The following is a 19,157-nucleotide window of genomic DNA, read 5'->3' as shown; positions in this document are numbered from 1 at the left end:
GGCTACGTCTGGAATTATGATGGATTTGACCAAATTCTTTTAAGCCAGGCCATCTCACTGGTATTCCAAGCTCTTTGCATTCTAACCTAGAAGTAACAATATTTTTTTATTGGCGTTTTGCAGACCACGGAAATGAGACTCTTTTATTACGGAGACTTAAAACTGAATGAGAGCATGGGAAAGGGAACTTACAACAAAACCCTGGCTTAACAGGAAACAAATCAACAAAGGCCCTACAAATGAAAAACCTGCAACTTTCCGCCACCTCCCAAAGGTGAAGAACGCCAGAACCCTAGTTCCTGAGTCAGAATCCGGGAGGGCCTAGACGATCCAGAGTCACCACGAGGAGAGGGCAGGGTGCGCCGCGAGGGCTCACCGCAGCCGCCCGCCGGGTCCGCTCCCCTGGACCGCCCCCCGGGAAGGAGCAAGGTAAAGCACTCTCCCCTCCTCCTCCGCACTCCAGGATCCAGGAAAGAGAAGAAAGAGGCTCTGCGCCTTCCCGGCCAGTCGCGGAGGCCCGCGTTCCCCATGGGCTGGGTCCCCTCGGCCCCAGAGAGCGCAGGCCGCGCCCCCTCCCCACCTCGGCTCTCAGTGCGCGCGCCTGGCCTGCGACCGCCGCGATGGGCGTGTGTCGGGCCCGGGGGCCCCACTCCCCGGCCCCAGCCCTGGTCCTGGCATCACTTACAGAGCCCAAGCGCCGCCGCCAGCACCGACCACAGCCAGCGCCGGCTGTCTGGGGCTGCAATCACCGCCCCGGCTCCGGCGGACGCTGCCATCGTCCAGCCACTGCAGTCGCCGCCGCCGCCGCCGCGTCCCTGAGCCCGGGTCCCCGCTGAGGTTGGCTCGGCTTGGGGAAGAGGCTTCTGATCTCTCCGCCACCCGCGCCGGGTGGCACCTCCACGCCGCGCTCCCCACTCCGGTCCCAGCCGCGGCTCTCCAGCTCTGCACCGAAGCCTCAGCCCCACTCCGGCCCTCGCTGTCCGCTCATTGGCCTGCCCGCACCCTTTTAAGGACGCGATTGGAGAGTCAGGCTGTCCATCATCCGTCCGCCGGGAAGGCCCCGCCTCCTCGGTCCCACCCAGGCGCCTCGGCCCCGCGCGGAGGCCGGGTCTGCAGCGGTCCCAGGCCGAGCCGAGCCTTCCGCCTGCCTGCGTGGCTGTCCGCCTGCGGGCCCCACCAGCCAGCGTCTCCTCTGCCTTTCTCAGGGTCCAGTCCCGTGGTCCTCTTCATTGTCTCTCCTCGCCACAGGTCTTTGCTGGGTACTAACCTCGCCTCCGTTTCAGCTCTTCTTGTTCTCTGCCGGCCTCACCTAACGAAAAAGAAGCAATTCATTTACCTTAAAAAGAAAGAAAAGACAGAAAGAAAAATAATGAGGCGTTCAATTGATGGGGGAGAGACTTCTGATTCAGTCGTCCAGGTGGAACACGTTCCCCGTGCCGTGTCCCCAAGGCCTGTCCTTTGCGTGGACTAGATAATGTATGTGTTGCAATTTGCGAAATCTACTAGTTTAAAAAGAAGTCTCCATCTTGCCCTAACCTCCTCTTAGGAACCTCCCTCCTGGCTTCAGAAGGATGGGAATCTGGAACTCTTTCCTACTACCTGAAAAACAAATGAAAATGCTTTTTGATTGTTTTGCTTTCGCATATCTGTGTTCCTGTCTGTGTCCGTGAAAAATAGAAAGCAGAAGTTCCCAACACTGATTCTGAAGTGCCCTGCAGAAGTTCCCGACACTGATTGCTGGCCCTGCTCAACTTGGTTGCCTTGGCCCAGAACAGTCTGCCACCTACGGGTTGTCCAATCAATAGGGGAAATATTTGGAAGGATCCTTATGAAAATGGCTTACAAAAGGGAAAAATGGGGGACAGGGGCACAAGAAAGATGAGTGTGAAGGAGGAAAAGGGAAGATTCAGGTGGGAGGCTGATACGATGAGGAAGGGAAGCAAGCTTTAGACAATTAGGACAAGAGCGGGGGAAGAGTATGGTGAGAACCCAAAATGTAACCTCTCACTTCAGGGTTTTTGTCTAAGGTCAGTCTTAACAATGCCATTCCTGATATCTGTGCTGTTTCAGCTAACATTGCAGTACAGCGAAATCATAAGAACATTAGTGAGAAAAAAACTTAAAAAAAAAAAATACCAGAACCACTTTGCCCTATTTCTGTCAGCAGATCCTTTTGAAGTTGTATCTCAAATGCCATAGGTTGGAAAAGATACCAATGCATTAATTGAACCATGGATGTAGAACACCTGGGCTTTACTCTCAAGAAGCACATCGTCTACTAGTGTACACAAACAAGTACTCAATTACATTTGTAAAAATGAGGGCCGGGTGCGGTGGCTCACACTTGTAATCCCAGCACTTCGGGAGGCCGAGGCGGGCAGATCACGAGGTCAGGAGTTTGAGACCAGCCTGGCCAGCGTAGTGAAACCCCATCTCTACTAAAAGATACAAAAAAATTAGCCGGGCATGGGTGGCGCGTGACTGTACCCAGCTACTCGGGTGGCTGAGGCAGGAGAATCGCTTGAACTGAGAGAAGAGAGACAGAACCTCTCATATAGTTTTATACTCAGAAAAGGAAAGAGAAGCGAAATTAAAGGCAGGTAACCCGGCGCCTAAGAACCAGACCCGAAACCAGGCCTGGGCCTGCCTGACCTAAGCCCGGTAGTTAAAGATCGACCCCTGACCTAACCGGTTATGTTATCTATGGATTCCAGACATTATATGGAAAGGCATTGTAAAAATCCCTGTCCTGTTCTGTTTCGTTCTGATTACCGGTGCATGCAGCCCCCATTCACAGTACCCTCTGCTTGCTCAATTGATCATGACCCTCTCACGCGGACCCCCTTAGAGTTGTGAGCCCTTAAAAGGGACAGGAATTGCTCACTCGGGGAGCTAGGCTCTTGAGACAGGAGGCTTGCCGATACTTCCGGCCGAATAAACCCCTTCCTTCTTTAACTCCGTGTCTGAGGAGTTTTGTCTGCGGCTCATCCTGCTACAGAACCTGGGAGGCAGAGGTTGCAGTGAGACGAGATCACGCGCCATTGCACTCCAGCCTGGGCGACAGGGCGAGACTCCGTCTCAAAAAAAGGAAGAGTGAATAAAGAAGAAACCCAAGGCCAGCAGGGACAGTGACTCTCAGCAGTGTTTAAAGCTTCTCTGCTGATTGTGATGTACCTCAGCCACATATACCTCGCTCTCCTAAAATCCACTGGCCCAAGAAGCATCTAGAAAGATTCACCAAGGATAAAACATTTAAGGTGAACTTTAAAAGATGAATAATTCACCAGAGAGAAAACAGGAAAAGCAAACTCAGAGAACGGAGAAAACAGGAAAAGCACATTCAGAGAAAAGAAATCACCTACCAAGTGTGAGAAACATTAGGTGAATCCTTTGTGGTTTGCAACTTGAGGGGAGTGAGGGAAAGAGGGGAAGAGAGAATGCCAGGAAAGGAGGCTGCGGTCATATTTTGAAGAGCCTTGAGTTGTGTTTTTTCTGGAGGCAGTGGAGAGTGGTGAAAGGGGTGTAAGAAGTTCGGATCTGTGTTTTAAAAAGGTAACCACTGCAGCAGGGCAAGAATGAAGAGAGCAGGAAATAAGGTATTGATAGTGGGGATGAGAAGACAGGATTTGAGAGACATTTCACGAAAAGAATTACAGGACTGGGTATAAATTGGATGAGAAGTATAATCAAGAGAAAAAGAGTCCCAATTTCTAGCCTGTCTGTCTTTGTCTTCAAGATCTGTTGCCAGAGGAAAATTGGAATGTGGGTGGTGTCCCAGGAACCCTGAGAATTTGACTCCTCGCAGATAACAAATCAGATAGATTCAAAGAGGAATCCCAGGCCACCTTGAGAAAGATTCGCCTGAAGCCAAATCAGTTTCACAAAGAATGTCTTAATCCAGAAGCATTGCTGCTAGAAATTTTTGAAAATTGGAAAATTAGAGTTCTAGTGTCTCCTTCCCCTTGGCACAGAGACACCAAATTGGGGGAACGAGGGTAAAAGGGTCCTTAGGGAGGTGTTAATTCTTACAGGAGAAGGCTGTGCTGTCAGACTTCTAAATTCACTGTAGCTGGGATAAAATTTTCCTCAAGATACACTGTTTTCCTGGGCCCTGCAACCATCTGTGTACTACATCTGCTTCCCAAGGACCTAATTCTAGGGAAGCATGTGCCTGGACAGATAGCGCAGGCATTCCTCCTACCAAATAGGGATATTTCCCACTGTCAATGAAGCAATCAATATTCTGAGTTTTGTTATTGTCAGTCTTTCTGCATCATTGTTATGACAGTCAAATGAGATACTCAAGTATTTGGCCTGCCGAGTAAAAGACAAGTTCCTTTTTAATGATTAGATAGAAGAAGTTGGGGGGAAAAATCTAAAATGATAATAGCTATAGTAAATTCAAAAGGGAAAAGAGAGAGAGCAGGGAGACTTCTTGAGACTGAGGCTTTCAGATATCTGAAGTGGTTATATTATTTTCTCTAACCAGTTATATTCTACAGCTTCCTCATTTTAAGGAGAAAAGCAGTATAAACTTCTTAGGTGTCCAGGGCATATTTTTTTCCAGTTAGATTTTGATGAATACACTATCTGGCAATCTAGAACTTATTAACATTGTACAAGGTATTCTTATCCTCCCTCCTTTCCTGGAGCCCTAAGAAGAACTGAAGACTCAAGTTAGGGCAGTTTTAAATAAAACAAGGGTAAAGACAGCGCTAGATTTTCTATAATTTTCTGTTGTCAAACCATAGGAAGAAAGTGGACAGTTCGGAGTCGGTCACATAGTACTTGTTGTTAAATGTTTGTTGAAGAATGAGTAGGCTGGGCGCCGTGGCTCACGCCTGTAATCCCAGCACTTTGGGAGGCCAAGGCCGGCGGATCACAAGGTCGGGAGTTCGAGAACAGCCTGGCTAACATGGCGAAACCCCCATCTCTACTAAAAATACATTTGGTGCCCACCGTTTGTAATCCAGCTACTTGGGAGGCTGAGGCGGGAAAATTGCTTGAACCCGGGAGGCGGAGGTTGCAGTGAGCTGAGATTGCGCCACTGCACTCCAGCCTGGGTGACAGAGCAAGACTTCCGTCTCGGAAAAAAATAAAAAAGAATGAGCAATGAATGAATGAATGAATAAACCGATGAATGTATGACATATGAAATAAAATTAATGAATAGGTCTATTTAAGATAGTCACTCTGTCTACTTGTTTCCTATCTGGTTGGTTATTTGCTAGAATGACAATTCACAATTACTGTTTGTCAATGTGTTTGTCAACGTGTTAGGGAAGCAGCAGCCTAGGAAAGCTAGAATAATGCCATTTTAAGTTCAGCTCCATTTTAGGACTAACAAGGCACATTCCTTGCCTGCCACGACCCATAGTCATGGGATGTTTATAATTAAGGAAACAGCCTGAAGATAACTAGGACTGACTCCTACAACAGCAAGAAGTCCAAATGTCCTAATATCTACAACAATATATGCCTTTAAGATAATCACAGTTATGCTTTTACGTATTCACACACTAAAATGTCAATAATTGTCTTCTTTAAATCAACAGAGTAACAAAATTTGTCATGTTGTCTGCTCACCCGTATGTAGGCACAGCTTAGCCTAGCTTTTACATAGGTAAGATCACTATATAAGAAAAACTTAAGAACGGGGTGTTTCTCCTCCTACTTTCTGAGAACATCCTGCTCTGTAACAGAGTAGTTTCCAATAAACTTGCTTCTTTCACCCTGAATTCTTTCCTGCACGAGATCCAAGAACCCTCTCTCCAGGTTCGGTGAAGACCCCTTTTTCCGGCAACAAAAGTACTAAAATGCAGTGAGCCATGATCATGCCACTGCACTCCAGCCCGGGCGACAGAGTGAGACCCTGTATCAAACAAAAAACACCTAAAATTCGTATTGTTAAGGAATTTGAGACAAATTGTAATCATTCAGAATCATTCATTGAGCACCAGCTTCCTTATGATAAGCCTCAATGCTAAGTATTTAAGAATTTAGGGCCAGGCACGGTGGTAATCCCAGCACTTTGGCAGGCCGAGGCAGGTGGATCACGAGGTCAGGAGATCGAGACCATCTTAGCTAACACGGTGAAACCCCGACTCTATTAAAATACAAAAAAAATTAGCCAGGCGTGGTGGCGGGCGCCTGTAGTCCCAGCTACTGGGGTGGCTGAGGCAGGAGAATGGCATGAACCCAGGAGGCGGAGCTTGCAGTGAGCCGAGATCGCGCCACTGCACTCCAGCCTGGGTGACAGAGCTAGACTCTGTCTCAAAAAAAAAAAAAAAAAAAAAAAAAAAAAAAAAAGAAATTAGGCCGGGCGCAGTGGCTCACGCTTGTACTTTGGGAGGCCGAGGAGGGTGGATCAACTGAGGTCAGGAGTTGGAGACCAGCCTGGCCAACATGGTGAAACCCGCCTCTACTAAAAATACAAAAATTAGCTGGGCATGGTGGCAGGTGCCTGTAATCCCAGCTACTCGGGAGGCGGAGAATCGCTTGAACCTGGAGGGCGGAGGGGGCGGAGGTTGCAGTGAGCCGAGATCACACCACTTCTCTCCAGCCTGGCGAAAGAGCGAAGCGAGACAACGTCTCAAAAAAAAAAAAAAAAAAAGAAAGAAAGGAAAAAGAATTTAAAATATAGTTAAGAAGCCATGCTTACTATATCTAATTAAAGATATTGGGACAATCGAACAGCAATCACACAATTGGTTGCCAATTCTACAGTAGAATTTCGTGTTGGTGTAGGTGTCTTGCGCTCTAAGAAGTTACAGTTGGAGGAGATAAGACTGAAACCCAGTTATTTACCACATACTATTGGTTTTGATATGTTAAAGGATCTTTTTCTGGGAAGGTTAGAGTTTGGGATTTGTCCAAAAGCAAACAGGTTTTCCAGCTGAAGAGAACACTTCGAGTAAAAACAGAGATGGGAATTCACAAGGCTAGATAGGTAGGGCTTTGAATATTACAATAAAAAATATCGGCAAGAAACCGAGATTTTAACATTATAGAAAAGTGCGAAAAAGAACGAATGAAACATCCAGAACTCACTCAGTAACGGAGAGAGTCTGGAATCTGCCACAGTGACATTGTCCCACACTAATAGCCATTTATTAGCCATGAATAGAAATACAATTACAATTTTCGAAATAAGAGGTCGATATTATACTGATAGTGACAATTTTGCTGTCTTCTGTGTTACTGATTTTCAAAGAGCAAAACAGAAAAGAAAGAAAATTGAAAACGCGGTATCTATAGAAAGCAAACACAACCCAAAGATCGAATCCTAACATGCGAGCAACCACTTGAGGGCGCAGGACTAAATAGCTATGTGTTCCTTTCTGATGACAGTAAGGTGGAGTTTGTGTCGGCTCGTTGGTCTAGGGGTATGATTCTCGCTTAGGGTGCGAGAGGTCCCGGGTTCAAATCCCGGACGAGCCCTGTTTTGGAGTAAGAATCACTTAAAGGTGAGTTTTTTTGGGGATAGATTACTAAACGTAATAAATACAGGTTGGTCAGAGTAAAACACAAAATTGAGATTTTTGGAAACTTAGAGCACACTCTACATTGAAATACCATTAAAAGGCCTCATTTTGAAAATGTAAAAAGTTTGCTAGTAATGTAGTATTGTACTATGAAAACATTGTCCCTAGCTGTCTATTCCTGGGTGCAGCGCGTGTACAGGGCCATCGGGAGCTCAGTTCTTGGCTGCCTATGGCGTGGTTTAAACTCATCCACGACAGTGCCCCTCATCGGGGGTGGGGATATCTCCTGAGCGCCCCTTTCCTCGGAAATGCTGATTCCCGAACCCCGGGACATGCTAATCCATGACGCCCCCTGCTCGTTTGGAGGAGTTAAAGGCGTGCACAGGATTCCGCACTAGGCGTCTGTTTTTCAAGAGTGTGTGTTTTACATGGTACAAAGCAATTTGAATGCGTTGCCTTTGGGCGTACAGTAACCATATGTTGTATTAATTGAGCTCACATGGTCCCTCGCTTCAAAAAACAAAGGGGATCAACATTCGAGCTCATGGGACCAGTATGTTTTCATTTAAGTTTCTGAATGGAATATGTGGGGAATTAGGGGGAAAAAATCTGTTTTTAAATTTCGGGTGTGGGGTGGGTAAAAGCCTGGGCTCGTCCGGGATTTGAACCCGGGACCTCTCGCACCCGAAGCGAGAATCATACCCCTAGACCAACGAGCCGCTCTCGGCAAGGGCACTCCCAGAGCTTCCCTTCAGCCTTGTTCCGCCTCTCACCTCGTGTTCCGAGCAACCACGACCTGCGACCCTTATACTGCGTGTCCTCTGATTCCCTAAGCCTCGGGTCCGGAGCGCTTACTGCCCCACAGCGTGGAGGAGCAGGGAGGGACCGGCTTTTGCCTGGTCCGGCCGTTCCAACCCCCCATCGCCGGCGTGGCCTCCACGTTCGCACGCGCTCCCGGAAGCCGCCTTCCGGCTTACGGGCTCGCCCCGGCTGTTCCACTCGCAGTGTTGGCGGGCGCCCGGGAGCCCGGGCTGAGGAAAGTGCGGGGCGGGGCAGGGCGCCTCAGGACGCAGCCCGGTGCCAAGTCCCGGCGGCGCCCCGCCCGCGCCCAGCCCGTCAGTGCACGCAGAGCTGGGCCTGCTCGCTCCGCGAGTGGGTCGGTGAATGAAGACGGGGAGTCCGAGCGAGGGAAGGGAATACCCGAATCCTGGCTAAGAAAGGGGTGGTGGGAGACGAAATCCCATAGGAGTGAATATTAAGTTAACTCCCCGAACCTTCATTTGGGGATAGTGCACTCTTTTAAGCCCTTTGCTTGTATTGAACTCACCTGATATTCGTAATAATCCCCTAGGTGCCATTGTATCTCCATTTGCAGATGAGGAAACTGAGGCTCAGAGATGTTAAGTCGCTCACATAAATCCACTGGGCTAGGAGCTGGCGGTGGCGCTGGTCTAGGAACTCCCGAGGTCCTGGAGGGTGGGACAACTGGGGGCTGGGGCGTGTGAAAGGGACTGGAGAGTTGGGGAGAAGATTGGTACCTCGGTAGCTTGGAGAAGAGAGGGCAGTGGCAGTGGGCCGGGTCTTCTCCCTCCCGTCCAGCAGAAAATGTGGGCCTGCCCTACTGCTCTTCTGCTCAGAGGAGCGGGAGTCCGAGTGCGGGGTCTCCCGCCGGTGTGGTTTCCCGGCCTGGGGTCTAGCTCGTCTTGCCTGCTTTCCGGACTGCTCTCACCGCTTCCCCCCACTTCACGACCCCAGCCCGCCACTCTGCACTCCGGCTCCTTGCAGTCTGTGGCCAAGTTGCAGACGTCCCTTATTTCTAAAACACTCTTGCATTCTTAGGCTACTTTCAGTTCAGCGTAAGAGAAATCCATTGCTCTGTAGCCTGGTCAGACGTTCTTCCAGGTCCTGGTGGTGCTTTTGCCCTGTCACCTGCTAACCGAGAGCTTCCCACGTGCACCCGCTTCTCTGCTCTTTTCTCTCTCTCTTCCTCTCTTCCTTTTAATGTCAGTGAGCTTTTGGGACGACACTTAGCGATAGGAGGTCAGGACCAGGGTTCATGCCGGTGGGGAGTGTAACGGGAAATGCAGTGAAGACACCTCAGAACAAACAGCGAGCACTGAAAAACCTTTCTTTAGCCCACTCTGGCGATGTAGAGAGCCCTGTCGCTGGCTGGTGCAGGGGCCAGGTCTAAGGTGGGCAGCCCTGTCTACGCCTTCTATTTGTTTGGAAGTGCGTAAAACTATTGACACCCTGTCCTTGTCTGAGACCACTTTTCTTCCTCCTACTTACCTAAGGTGTGAGAACTGGATATTGTTTAATTTCTTTTCTTTTCTTTTTTATTTTGAGACGAAGTGTCGCTCTTGTTGCCCAGGCTGGAGTGCAATGGCGCGATCTCGGCTCACCGCAACCTCTGCCTCCCAGGTTGAAGTGATTCTTCTGCCTCAGCCTCCCGAGTAGCTGGGATTACAGGCATGCACCACCACGCCTGGCTAATTTTGTATTTTTAGTAGAGACGGGTTTCTCCATGTTGGTCAGGCTGGTCTCGAACTCCCGATCTCAGGTGATCCGCCTTTCTCGGCCTCCCAAAGTGTTGGGTTGAGCCACCGCGCCCGGCTAGATATTGCTTTTAACACACTGTTTGGTAGTTTGAGGATGGGTCAAGGGTGGGGAAGGTTGGGGAGAGAGTTTTCATTAGGGCAAGTCCTGAGCAGCTAAGCGTCGCCCTCCTTCCCTTTGAGAGTATGCGTGCCTTCGCTGGGGCTCTCTCTGCCTTGCCTGAGCTGTATCCCACTCCTGGGAGCTTTGACATATTCCTGCCACTCACCATGTGTGTGGAACATGATAGAGGTGGACACTTCTATCTTTGCTGAGTATACACTCTCAAGGGTTTTTTGTTTGTTTTTGTTCGTTGTTGTTTTAATTTCCCAAGCCTGGGGAGAGGGATAAAAAATAAAAATAAGTTCCCAAGTCTGCTTTTCCACTCCGTTAAGTAGTTTGTAATGGCTTCATAGTATCCCATCAAGATAATGGCACATCCTTTTCTTAATTATTCTTCCACTGTATAAGTAAGTGGTGTCAAACATTTTGTTGAAATTTTGTGTATATACTTTTTTTTTTTTTTTTTTTTGAGACAGGGTCTCACTCTGTCACTCAGGCTGGAGTGCAGTGGTGCCATCATGGCTCACTGCAGCCTCAACCTCCTGGGCTCAAGTGATCCTCCTACCTCAGCCTCCCAGGTAGCTGGGACAGGCATGTGCCACCTACACCCAGCTAGTTCACCCACACCTGGCTAATATTTTTGTATTTTTTTGTAGAGATGGAGTTTCACTATGTTGCCCAGGCTGGTCTCCCAACTCCTGGGCTCAAGTGATCTGTCCACTTCGGCCTCCAAAGTGCTGGGATTACAGGCGTGAGCCATTGCACCCTGCCCCTTTCCATGTACTTTGGATTATTTCCTTAGGACACACTCCCAGAGTTGGCCTGGTCACAGAGACAAACACTGATCCTTGGCCACTTTTATAACTCTTGATGCAATTCTGTGCTAAGGAGCTTGGCTTGGCTGGTTAACAAGTAAGATGGAAACGTGGAAGAAGAGGAACAGTGGCTCTCAGATAACTTTAAAGCCCATGATTTGATCTTTTAATTTCATTTAAGGGTTTTGATGGCATCAAAGCTTTTGAGAATGCTGATAATAAGTATTGTTGATGATAACAATTTTGACTTGGGGTCAGATGCATAAAAGGGAGTAAAAGAAATTAGAAAACTAGTAAATCCATTAGGAGATGATTAGAATAACTCTGGGATGACATTATTGAAACTGTGAATGGGCATTTAAATCACTTGTAATGGGGATTCAGTGACTATTTAATAACTAAGATTTGCTGGCTACTGAATTCTTACCCAATTTAGGCTTAGGTGGTGCAGACTTGGCTCTGTCTAGCAAGATCAGTCCTTAGGAATAAGAATACAATTAATTACATGGGTTCACCACTCCAAGGAACCTTCTCGCTAACTTGGCACACAAGACTGGCCTCATGCTCATATGCTGAGCCTTGTTTGCTGCTTGTGGGGTTATGTACTAATGGACTAGAAGGCCATGGCAGTTGTCTTGGTAGGCTTGTGTCACGCACAGCAAGCCTTCCTCCAATTTAAACAGAAACTTGGATCTGACTGAAAATTTGTGTCTTTTTCCAGATTCTAGTCCAATATCCAGCAAAAGCTTCAGCTACATTTTACTAAACATATTTCTATTTGGTTTCCCTCAGTGATCCTTTTTATGAGGTTTAGATCATGTGTCCCTCTGAATTTTGCAGTCCCTTCATTGAATCACTATTAATGAATTCTTGGAATTGCCTCAGCCTCTTCATTTTTCATTCAAAAGGTTTTGCTTGTTTTTAAGTTCTGAGAGTACATGAGGTCAGAGGGGTAATATGAATCTCAGATGTAGATTGTGAAAGAACTGCTCTCCGCTGGGACACCTTCACTTTCACCAAGGAGTCTTATTACCTGTTCATCTTATTACCCTCTGTTTTATACAGACCTAGTTCTGGTCAGATGTTTCTGGTTAACACAAAAGTGTATCATTTTCATGATCAAACTTGTGATTCTTTATGAAGACATGCTCATGAGAGTATGTTACAAAAAAGAAAGAGAAAATTAGATATAGTAAAATCCCAATTTTGCACCAACCAAGAATTAAAACAAAACGTATATAATGCACTAAAAAAAAAGAAGAATATCCATAAAATAGTAACATTAGTTATCCCTAGATAGTGGACTTAAAAATACTTTTTTGTTTGCTTCTTAAAATTTTTTCTTCCCCTCCACCAATTTTCTAAAATAAAGATGCATTGCTTTTACAATGAGAAAAAAATTAGGATAATTAACGTTTTTAAGCCACAAAGAAAACAGGGGTCTTGAAACTGCATTTCTTTGTTCTTGGTAGAATGGAGACACAGAATTAGAAGCAATGTAAAACAGGCCCTTTTGTGCTTCTCCATCCCTTCTGCTTCCAGAGGTGGTCAATAAGCCTGTTTGTATCACTCCTGAGAGGCCAGGTGCAACTGTGATGGGGATGTGCCTGGCACCGTCTAGCATGTGTGGCTTCCTTAGATAGTCAAACAGCAGTGACTAGTATTGGAGGTCCTATTGTTTGAAGAGGCTATTATTTTCTTGGGGGGGAATGAGTATCTGTGTCTTGGCAATATCCATCCTTTGAGTACCAATCATATAATTATTCTAGAATTTTGTTTCTGCATGCTGGTTAAAGTGCAATTCAGTCCACTCATTCTTTAAAACAGAAGCACCTGGTAAGTGTGGTAACTGACTTAGGGGTTTACCCAAGTTAGAGTAACTTTCTCTAATTTCTTTCTTTTCTTTTTTTTTTTTTTTAGAGACACAGTCTCACTCTGTCGCCCAGGCTGGAGTGCAATGGCACAATCTCGGCTCACTGCAACCTCCGCCTCCTAGGTTCAAGCGATTCTCCTGCCTCAGCCCCCGGAGTAGCTGGGATTACAGGTGTGCGGCACCCTGCTCAGCTAATTTTTGTATTTTTAGTAGAGACGGGGTTTCACCGTGTTGGCCAGGCTGGTCTCGAACTCCTGACCTCAGGTGATCCACCCACCTTGGCCTCCCAAAGTGCTGGGATTACAGGTGTGAGCCACTGCACCTGGCCACTTTCTTAAATTTCTATGTAAAACTACATCATGAAGGACTAGAGTCATATTACTTGCAGGAGTACTTGGGGGCGGGAATCCTAGCCTTTTTTTTTTTTTTTTTTTTATTGAGACCGAGTCTCACTCTGTCACCCAGGCTGGAGTACAGTGGCGTGATCTCAGCTCACTGCTGCCTCCACCTCCCGGGTTCAAGCGATTCTCCTGCCTCAGCCTCCCCAGTAGCTGGGATTACAGGCACACCAACAGACTCAGCTAATTTTTGTATTTGTAATAGAGACGGGACTTCACCATCTTGGCTGGTCTTGAACTCCTAGCCTCAAGCTATCCACCTGCTTTGGCCTCCCAAAGTGCTAGGATTACAGGCATGAGCCACCGCGCCTGCCCAGAATCCTAGCCTTTTCTGACCTCTTCCTTCGGCATCCTGCTTCCCTCATAGTGTCTTCCTGGCTGCTCCAGGCGGAGGGTGTTCAGCTCCCATGGAGAAGCCCCACAGCTTTTCAGGATTAGGGGGATGTGTAAGACATCTCTTAGTTCCTGTTTTGGATGTGGGTGGTTTTACTGTTGGCTTCCTTTACCCTCTGAGGCATGTAATACATTCATCATCTCTTCCTCCTCTGAGGAGTCTCAAAGAACCAGTTTCCTGCCCCATTTGACCACAGTGGGACTTTGCTGGAATTCCCACAGCTCTCCTGGGATTTGCGGGCAAAACTGGAATAATGGTCTCTTGTCAGCATCCATAGCCACTGTGATCAGGACATCCAGCACAGGGCTCATGGGGAGCCTGGGTTACCCCAACAAAACTGGGAAGGCAGAAAAGTGTGTCTCCTGACCCTAGAATTTTGTGCACTTTGCTCCTCTTTTGTAACCCCCTCTGGGAAGGGTCTCAAGAAACTTCTCACACCAAGGTGTAAATGACAAAGGAGGCTCCAAATAATGATCTCTCTCAGAAGTATTTGCATATTGAAGGAAGCCAATGATGACATTTCAGGTGTCTGCTGTCAGATAAAAGAGGTGTTAAGCAGGGATGACTGTTGAAAATAATCCCATCTCAGCTCTGAAATCAATTCAGTCATTCATGATTTAACAAATATTTATTGAATACCTACTATGTCTGAGGCACTGTGTACAATGAAGAATAATACAAACACATTGTACTCCCCTAGAGCTACAGGTTAGCTCTGGGCACAGTAATACATTATTACATAAAATAATGAGACTGATTTTCTTGGGTGGCTTATGAAACCTAATCCCATTTTATGTGAGCATTTGGATTTTGTTCAGTGCTCTTGACATCTTCATAAACCACCTGATCATGCATTATATAGAGACATTGTTTATCCTTTTTTCACGTGGTCCATCGAGCAAAAACTTGACTAGAACTAGTTGGGGTCAAACAAAATTTAATTTTGAAGCAAACAATGGGATAGTAATTGGGTGTTTCAGGTTTTGCCCTATGGGAAACAGCTGTTGTTTTTTGCCTGCCAGCATAGCTTCTTTTGGTAACAGCACCCTGATTTCACTTTGGGGAATCTTCTTGCTCACCTTTGCAAGCCTTGTAGAGAAAGTGCAGGATTGACTCACCTAGCTCCTAGCTCCAGGAGAGGGCACGCAGTCTCTGCATCTGCTTGGTTGTAACAGTTGATTCAGGTATAGACACGTGAGTCACACAGGGCCTATGGAAAGCCTCTACAGGACTTTTTCCCCACAGTAATGGTGAAAGAATAAGCCCTTTCACTGGGTTTGCAGGCTGGGAAGAACCTACTTAAGAAAATGACTGGCTGGACGTGGTGGTTCATGCCTGTAATCCCACTTTGGGAGACCGAGGCAGGCAGATCACTAGAGGCCAGGAGTTTGAGACCAGCCTGGCCAACATAGTGAAACCTGGTCTCTACTAAAAAATACAAAAATTAGCTGGGCATGGTGGTGCATACTTGTAATCCGAGCTATTAGGTTGGTGCAAAAGTAACTGCAGTACTTGGGAGGCTGAGGCACGAGAATCGCTTGAATGCAGGAGGCAGAGGTTGCAGTGAACTGTGATTGTGCCACTGCACTCCAGCCTGAGTGACAGCGCGAGACTCTGTCTCATTCAAAAAAAAAGAAGAGAAAAGAAGAGAAAAAAGAGACAGCCTTGGCTGCAACTATTAAGGAAAACTAATTAAATAAGTTTTTAAAAAAGAAAAAAAAAAGAATATGGCCAATACGAGGGAAAGCAGAGACCAATACCATGAGAGATTCCTGACATCACTTGGGTGACTGTATTTAGGTTTGTTTTTTTCAGTTCTATGAGGCTGAAAAAGGGGGAGAGATTCATTGATCTGTATAGTTCTGTTTTTCATCAGCTAGTTTGAGTTGGGTTTCTGTCACCAGCAGCTGGGTGAACTTGTTCATTCAGCTGTACTAAACACATCCCTAATCAAGAAAACCTAATCATAAGATGATGAACTGGTTGCCTTTTCACGCATTTATTTCTTTGACATTTATTTATTGAACATGTAGTTAACTGGTCATAGGACAAAACCTGCATGAAAAACTGGGCATTGTTCAGGGTGATCTCCGTGAGGGGCCTGGAGTTCTGAGGCCACTGAAGCTTACCTAGTTCCACATGCAGCTGAAACAGAATCCTAATCCCCTTTTAAATAGTGGCAGATCCCTTCAAAGCATCCAGGTTTTTTTTCTTGCTCCCTCTCTGGAGTAAGGAAGGACACAGTTTGAAATTCAAGCTAGACTACAAAGATCGTGGAAGAATGACTATGACTATTTCTTTAACTCTGTTGCTGTAGAAGAATCCGTGTTTTCTTTCAAACCCATTATGGAAGCCTGAAAGAAACAAGGTCTTCCTGGCCTGTTAATAACTTTGTGCTACCTAAGACACAGATGAATTTCTTTAATCCCAAATTTAGAAGTTCCAGTATCAACCATGCAAATAAAACACCTGATCATGGTTGCTTTGAGAAAGGAGAGTTTTAAGCAGTGGGGCTGCAGCACCAACAAAAATCAGTCCCTGTACTTCATGAGTTCCCTGCCAAGAGCCCCCTTTATTAATGAACAAGCCCTGGGAATGGGGCCTCTATTTTTTTCACAAAATACACCAAATAATGTGACTAACAGGAGACTTGGGGGATAGAAAGGTATTCTGATGCCCACAAGCATGGTGCCGCAATGTCACATTCTTGTCATTTTTACTGCCCCTCTCTCGTCTGCTACTATGTTTAGACCCTCCAGAAGAAAAATGCAGTTTCATTTTTCATATCTAAACCCCATACTTTCTGTTCCATGCCTTCCTCAAGTAAAGTGGCCCTTTTCATCACACATTCACAATCATGCACATATTCACAAAGTACTTGCCCAGATAGTGCATGTGTATAAACAACCCAAAGACATATATAAATAAAACCAAGTATTGTTTAGGGGTAGACTTCTCTGTCAATAAATGGATGGTAGCTAGATTGATAGCAAGCTAGCCAGCTAGATAGATAGACAGACAAGTTTATAGATCTCAAAATAATTGACACACACATCTCCCAAATTCTGCTAATATCCAAAGTTTATCATAGCTATGACAATATCAGTCCCAACCAGGTTACAAGTTTGTTACAAATTACAAACTACTTAAAAACAGTTTTGAAAAAAAATATATCCCAAATATTAACACTAAACACTACCCTGGAGTTAGAAAAACTGTAAATGGGATGAGGAAACTGAGGTACCAGTGGTGACATAAGGCCTTTTTGTCTGACAGACTGTTTTCTGAAGTCAGTGTAGGATGTAGTCTAACAGACCTCCAGAAGAATAATTCTTCCAACTACCAAATCAGCACACTGAGACATTAAAATACTCAAATCAGAATAAGGACCGACCCTAAGTTTAAATGTGTATTTGGATTAACATTTTTCAGCAGGAGTGTATGAAGAGGGGAGAGGATACAAGTCAAAGACTGGGTAGTCAGGCCCCCTGTCCCTTGCAGAATCCCTTACACTCACCAAACAGAATATTAAAGCAAGAGCTACCCAATAAGAAGAGACTAAAGACCCCAACTCACTCCTTTTGTGTTGGGCAGAAGAACCTGGGCTGTGAGTCAAGAAAAGCTTCCCAGGGAAACTAAGAAAAATGTTTTAATTATGTAGCTTGCACATAATGGTACTCAAGGCACCTCCCAGGAAACATCTAATCCATGCTCAAGGATTCTGGAAATGCAAATTCATCCTCACAGGATCAATCGGAGAGCCAGCATTATTCAGGTATCACTGCTTTTCTTTCAGGAGGAGATGCAACGCGGGACATGAAACCTCCTGCCATTCTGCCTCTCCATGGGAGTTCTCCACATTCTCAAGGGTGGGAGAAGGGAGTGAGCCGAGCCAGCGACCTCCCATGGTGGTCACCAACTGGAAAACCACAGGACAGGAAAAGCTCCTGCGAATGGAGCACTTTTTTTTTTTAAATGTTTCAATCATTATCTCTTCTAGTCCAGTGTTTTAAAGACTGGTTGGCCAGTTCAAATTTGGATCAAATTGAAAAGTTGTCTCTAGGGTTTTGATACAATTTAGGGTCTTCTGTAACTTACAGGGTTTCTATTTTATGTTTATGGCCACCTAAAATTAGTTTTTAACTGATATTTGAGAACCGTAAACACTTTAGAACATTAAAAAGGAACTTTACCCAAGCAAAATCTGATCAGCTAAATTAGAGCTCAGTTAAATTAGAGATCAGCTAAATTAGCTGCAGGGATAGGTGGGTGTGGATAGCATCCAGGGCTCCACAGGCTGACCAGTGCCCCTGGGACTCATCACCACAGTACATTGTTTTAAGTAAGTTCTTGTTGTTGAACCAAGTCCATCAAATGACATAAACTCAAGCTGATAAAAGTCTGCTGCCCTCAGATTCAGTCTCCATCTGCAAGGGAACGTTTGGTGTGGAGGCCAGGAAATAATCCACCCTGTGTCTTCAGGCTGACTCCAGACACTCAGCATATTCTGCCTCTGCAATGGCTTCGTCTGCTGCTGCTACAACTGTTGCTGCTACCTGCAAAGAGATGTGTCCAGCAACTTCATCACTGGGGCACAATGAGCTGTTCTTCACATTTTAGTGTCCTGGACAGGAGTGTCATCCTGTGAACAGGGGAGGAAAGAATTAATTAGGAAAATGGTGAGGAAATCCTGACACTCAGCATCCCTCCTTGGGGATGATGGATCTGGCAATAATAGTAACAGTAGGAGTAATAGTAAGAATGATAGTCATAAGAATGCTATGTGCCCAACTTAGTTTTTTTTATGCATTGACTTATTTAATCCTCACAAAAGCAATATGAGGTAGTTACTTTTATTAACTCTATCATAGGTGAGGCAATGAAGGCACAGAGAGGTTATTTCCCCTAGGTCACACAGCTAGTAAGTGGTGAAGTCAGGATTTTAACCCAGGGATCAGAGCTTGAGTTGTCCAGTACTAAGTGACCCTGCCCACCCTTGATGCCTGAGTTCCCTCTATCTTGGCCTCTTACCTATTCACTCATTCCCATTCAATGTGCTCTCCTGAAACACTGCTCAAGATTCTTAGGCAGCATATAAATGGAAAAAGGACAGAAAGAGTTGAAAATAAAAGACCAATACTTGAGTAAAAGGACAGTAAAGTAGCTATTTATTCAACAGTCATTCCGAAGGTATTACTTTGAGATCCTTCTGTGCTAGGAGCTGTACCAGGACTCCAGCCTCGTCCCCATCAGTTCTTTTGCTGAGAAATGGAAACATTTGGGAATGTAACCACAGTACAAGGTGGGGTGTGATGTGGACCATCCTAGTGGATTATACTGAGCAGGGGGGCATTTGTCCTCAGAGCAATCAGAAAAGGCTTGTGGAGGGGAAGATAGAGGTGTGGTGAGAGGACTTCCAGGTACCAGTGAGGGCTGGGTTAAAGTGGGCTGCAGGCAATTTCAGCTGGCAGTGCAGGCATTTGGGCAAAGAGGCTGTGGGAGTGGGTGAGGAGATGCCTTGCCTAATGCAGAATG

At 46.0% G+C, this 19,157-nt stretch overlaps 2 protein-coding genes and 2 non-coding genes across 9 annotated transcripts in view, besides 11 other annotated features; 1 reads left to right on the top strand and 3 right to left on the bottom strand.

Moving 5' to 3' along the window:
* Positions 1-946, bottom strand: part of MPZL1 (myelin protein zero like 1) — a 69,938-nt gene extending 68,992 nt beyond the window's left edge. For all 4 annotated transcript variants that reach the window (XM_047433610.1, NM_003953.6, NM_024569.5 and 1 more), the window contains exon 1: positions 686-946. Coding sequence is in view for 3 of the 4 variants with exons in the window: in NM_003953.6 (NP_003944.1) it covers positions 686-776 (91 nt within the window). In the remaining variant the exon portion in view is untranslated. The remainder of the gene's footprint in view (positions 1-685) is intronic.
* Positions 118-618: an enhancer, noted in NCBI's record as "H3K27ac hESC enhancer chr1:167691547-167692047 (GRCh37/hg19 assembly coordinates)". NCBI's record gives its function as "activates a minimal SCP1, AML or CMV promoter by ChIP-STARR-seq in primed H9 embryonic stem cells {active_cell/tissue: H9 hESC(primed)}" and the evidence as "EXISTENCE:reporter gene assay evidence [ECO:0000049][PMID:30033119]".
* Positions 307-446: a silencer, noted in NCBI's record as "silent region_1537". NCBI's record gives its function as "represses an Ori minimal core promoter by ATAC-STARR-seq in GM12878 lymphoblastoid cells {active_cell/tissue: GM12878}" and the evidence as "EXISTENCE:reporter gene assay evidence [ECO:0000049][PMID:35858748]".
* Positions 477-546: a silencer, noted in NCBI's record as "silent region_1536". NCBI's record gives its function as "represses an Ori minimal core promoter by ATAC-STARR-seq in GM12878 lymphoblastoid cells {active_cell/tissue: GM12878}" and the evidence as "EXISTENCE:reporter gene assay evidence [ECO:0000049][PMID:35858748]".
* Positions 937-1,306: a silencer, noted in NCBI's record as "silent region_1535". NCBI's record gives its function as "represses an Ori minimal core promoter by ATAC-STARR-seq in GM12878 lymphoblastoid cells {active_cell/tissue: GM12878}" and the evidence as "EXISTENCE:reporter gene assay evidence [ECO:0000049][PMID:35858748]".
* Positions 2,845-3,344: an enhancer, noted in NCBI's record as "H3K27ac hESC enhancer chr1:167688821-167689320 (GRCh37/hg19 assembly coordinates)". NCBI's record gives its function as "activates a minimal SCP1, AML or CMV promoter by ChIP-STARR-seq in naive H9 embryonic stem cells {active_cell/tissue: H9 hESC(naive)}" and the evidence as "EXISTENCE:reporter gene assay evidence [ECO:0000049][PMID:30033119]".
* Positions 7,369-7,440, top strand: TRP-AGG2-1 (tRNA-Pro (anticodon AGG) 2-1). Its single transcript has one exon. It is a non-coding gene; the product is annotated as a tRNA-Pro (tRNA).
* Positions 8,083-8,182: a silencer, noted in NCBI's record as "silent region_1534". NCBI's record gives its function as "represses an Ori minimal core promoter by ATAC-STARR-seq in GM12878 lymphoblastoid cells {active_cell/tissue: GM12878}" and the evidence as "EXISTENCE:reporter gene assay evidence [ECO:0000049][PMID:35858748]".
* Positions 8,132-8,203, bottom strand: TRP-CGG1-1 (tRNA-Pro (anticodon CGG) 1-1). Its single transcript has one exon. It is a non-coding gene; the product is annotated as a tRNA-Pro (tRNA).
* Positions 8,483-8,722: a silencer, noted in NCBI's record as "silent region_1533". NCBI's record gives its function as "represses an Ori minimal core promoter by ATAC-STARR-seq in GM12878 lymphoblastoid cells {active_cell/tissue: GM12878}" and the evidence as "EXISTENCE:reporter gene assay evidence [ECO:0000049][PMID:35858748]".
* Positions 8,847-9,685: an enhancer, noted in NCBI's record as "H3K27ac-H3K4me1 hESC enhancer chr1:167682480-167683318 (GRCh37/hg19 assembly coordinates)". NCBI's record gives its function as "activates a minimal SCP1, AML or CMV promoter by ChIP-STARR-seq in primed H9 embryonic stem cells {active_cell/tissue: H9 hESC(primed)}" and the evidence as "EXISTENCE:reporter gene assay evidence [ECO:0000049][PMID:30033119]".
* Positions 9,193-9,352: an enhancer, noted in NCBI's record as "active region_2052". NCBI's record gives its function as "activates an Ori minimal core promoter by ATAC-STARR-seq in GM12878 lymphoblastoid cells {active_cell/tissue: GM12878}" and the evidence as "EXISTENCE:reporter gene assay evidence [ECO:0000049][PMID:35858748]".
* Positions 14,232-19,157, bottom strand: part of RCSD1 (RCSD domain containing 1) — a 78,465-nt gene continuing 73,539 nt past the window's right edge. For all 3 annotated transcript variants that reach the window (NM_052862.4, NM_001322923.2, NM_001322924.2), the window contains one exon: positions 14,232-18,264. In NM_052862.4, the coding sequence (NP_443094.3) occupies positions 18,232-18,264 (33 nt within the window). In that variant the 3' untranslated portion in view covers positions 14,232-18,231. The remainder of the gene's footprint in view (positions 18,265-19,157) is intronic.
* Positions 15,581-15,780: an enhancer, noted in NCBI's record as "active region_2051". NCBI's record gives its function as "activates an Ori minimal core promoter by ATAC-STARR-seq in GM12878 lymphoblastoid cells {active_cell/tissue: GM12878}" and the evidence as "EXISTENCE:reporter gene assay evidence [ECO:0000049][PMID:35858748]".
* Positions 17,362-17,656: a silencer, noted in NCBI's record as "tiled region #8181; K562 Repressive non-DNase unmatched - State 18:Pol2". NCBI's record gives its function as "represses a minimal TATA promoter and a strong SV40 promoter by Sharpr-MPRA in K562 cells {active_cell/tissue: K562}" and the evidence as "EXISTENCE:reporter gene assay evidence [ECO:0000049][PMID:27701403]".

Source organism: Homo sapiens, chromosome 1 (assembly GCF_000001405.40).
Source record: "Homo sapiens chromosome 1, GRCh38.p14 Primary Assembly".
NCBI classification, from domain to species: Eukaryota; Metazoa; Chordata; class Mammalia; order Primates; family Hominidae; genus Homo; species Homo sapiens.
Note: the sequence above shows the minus strand (reverse complement) of the source record. Positions and strands in the feature narration are given on the sequence as shown.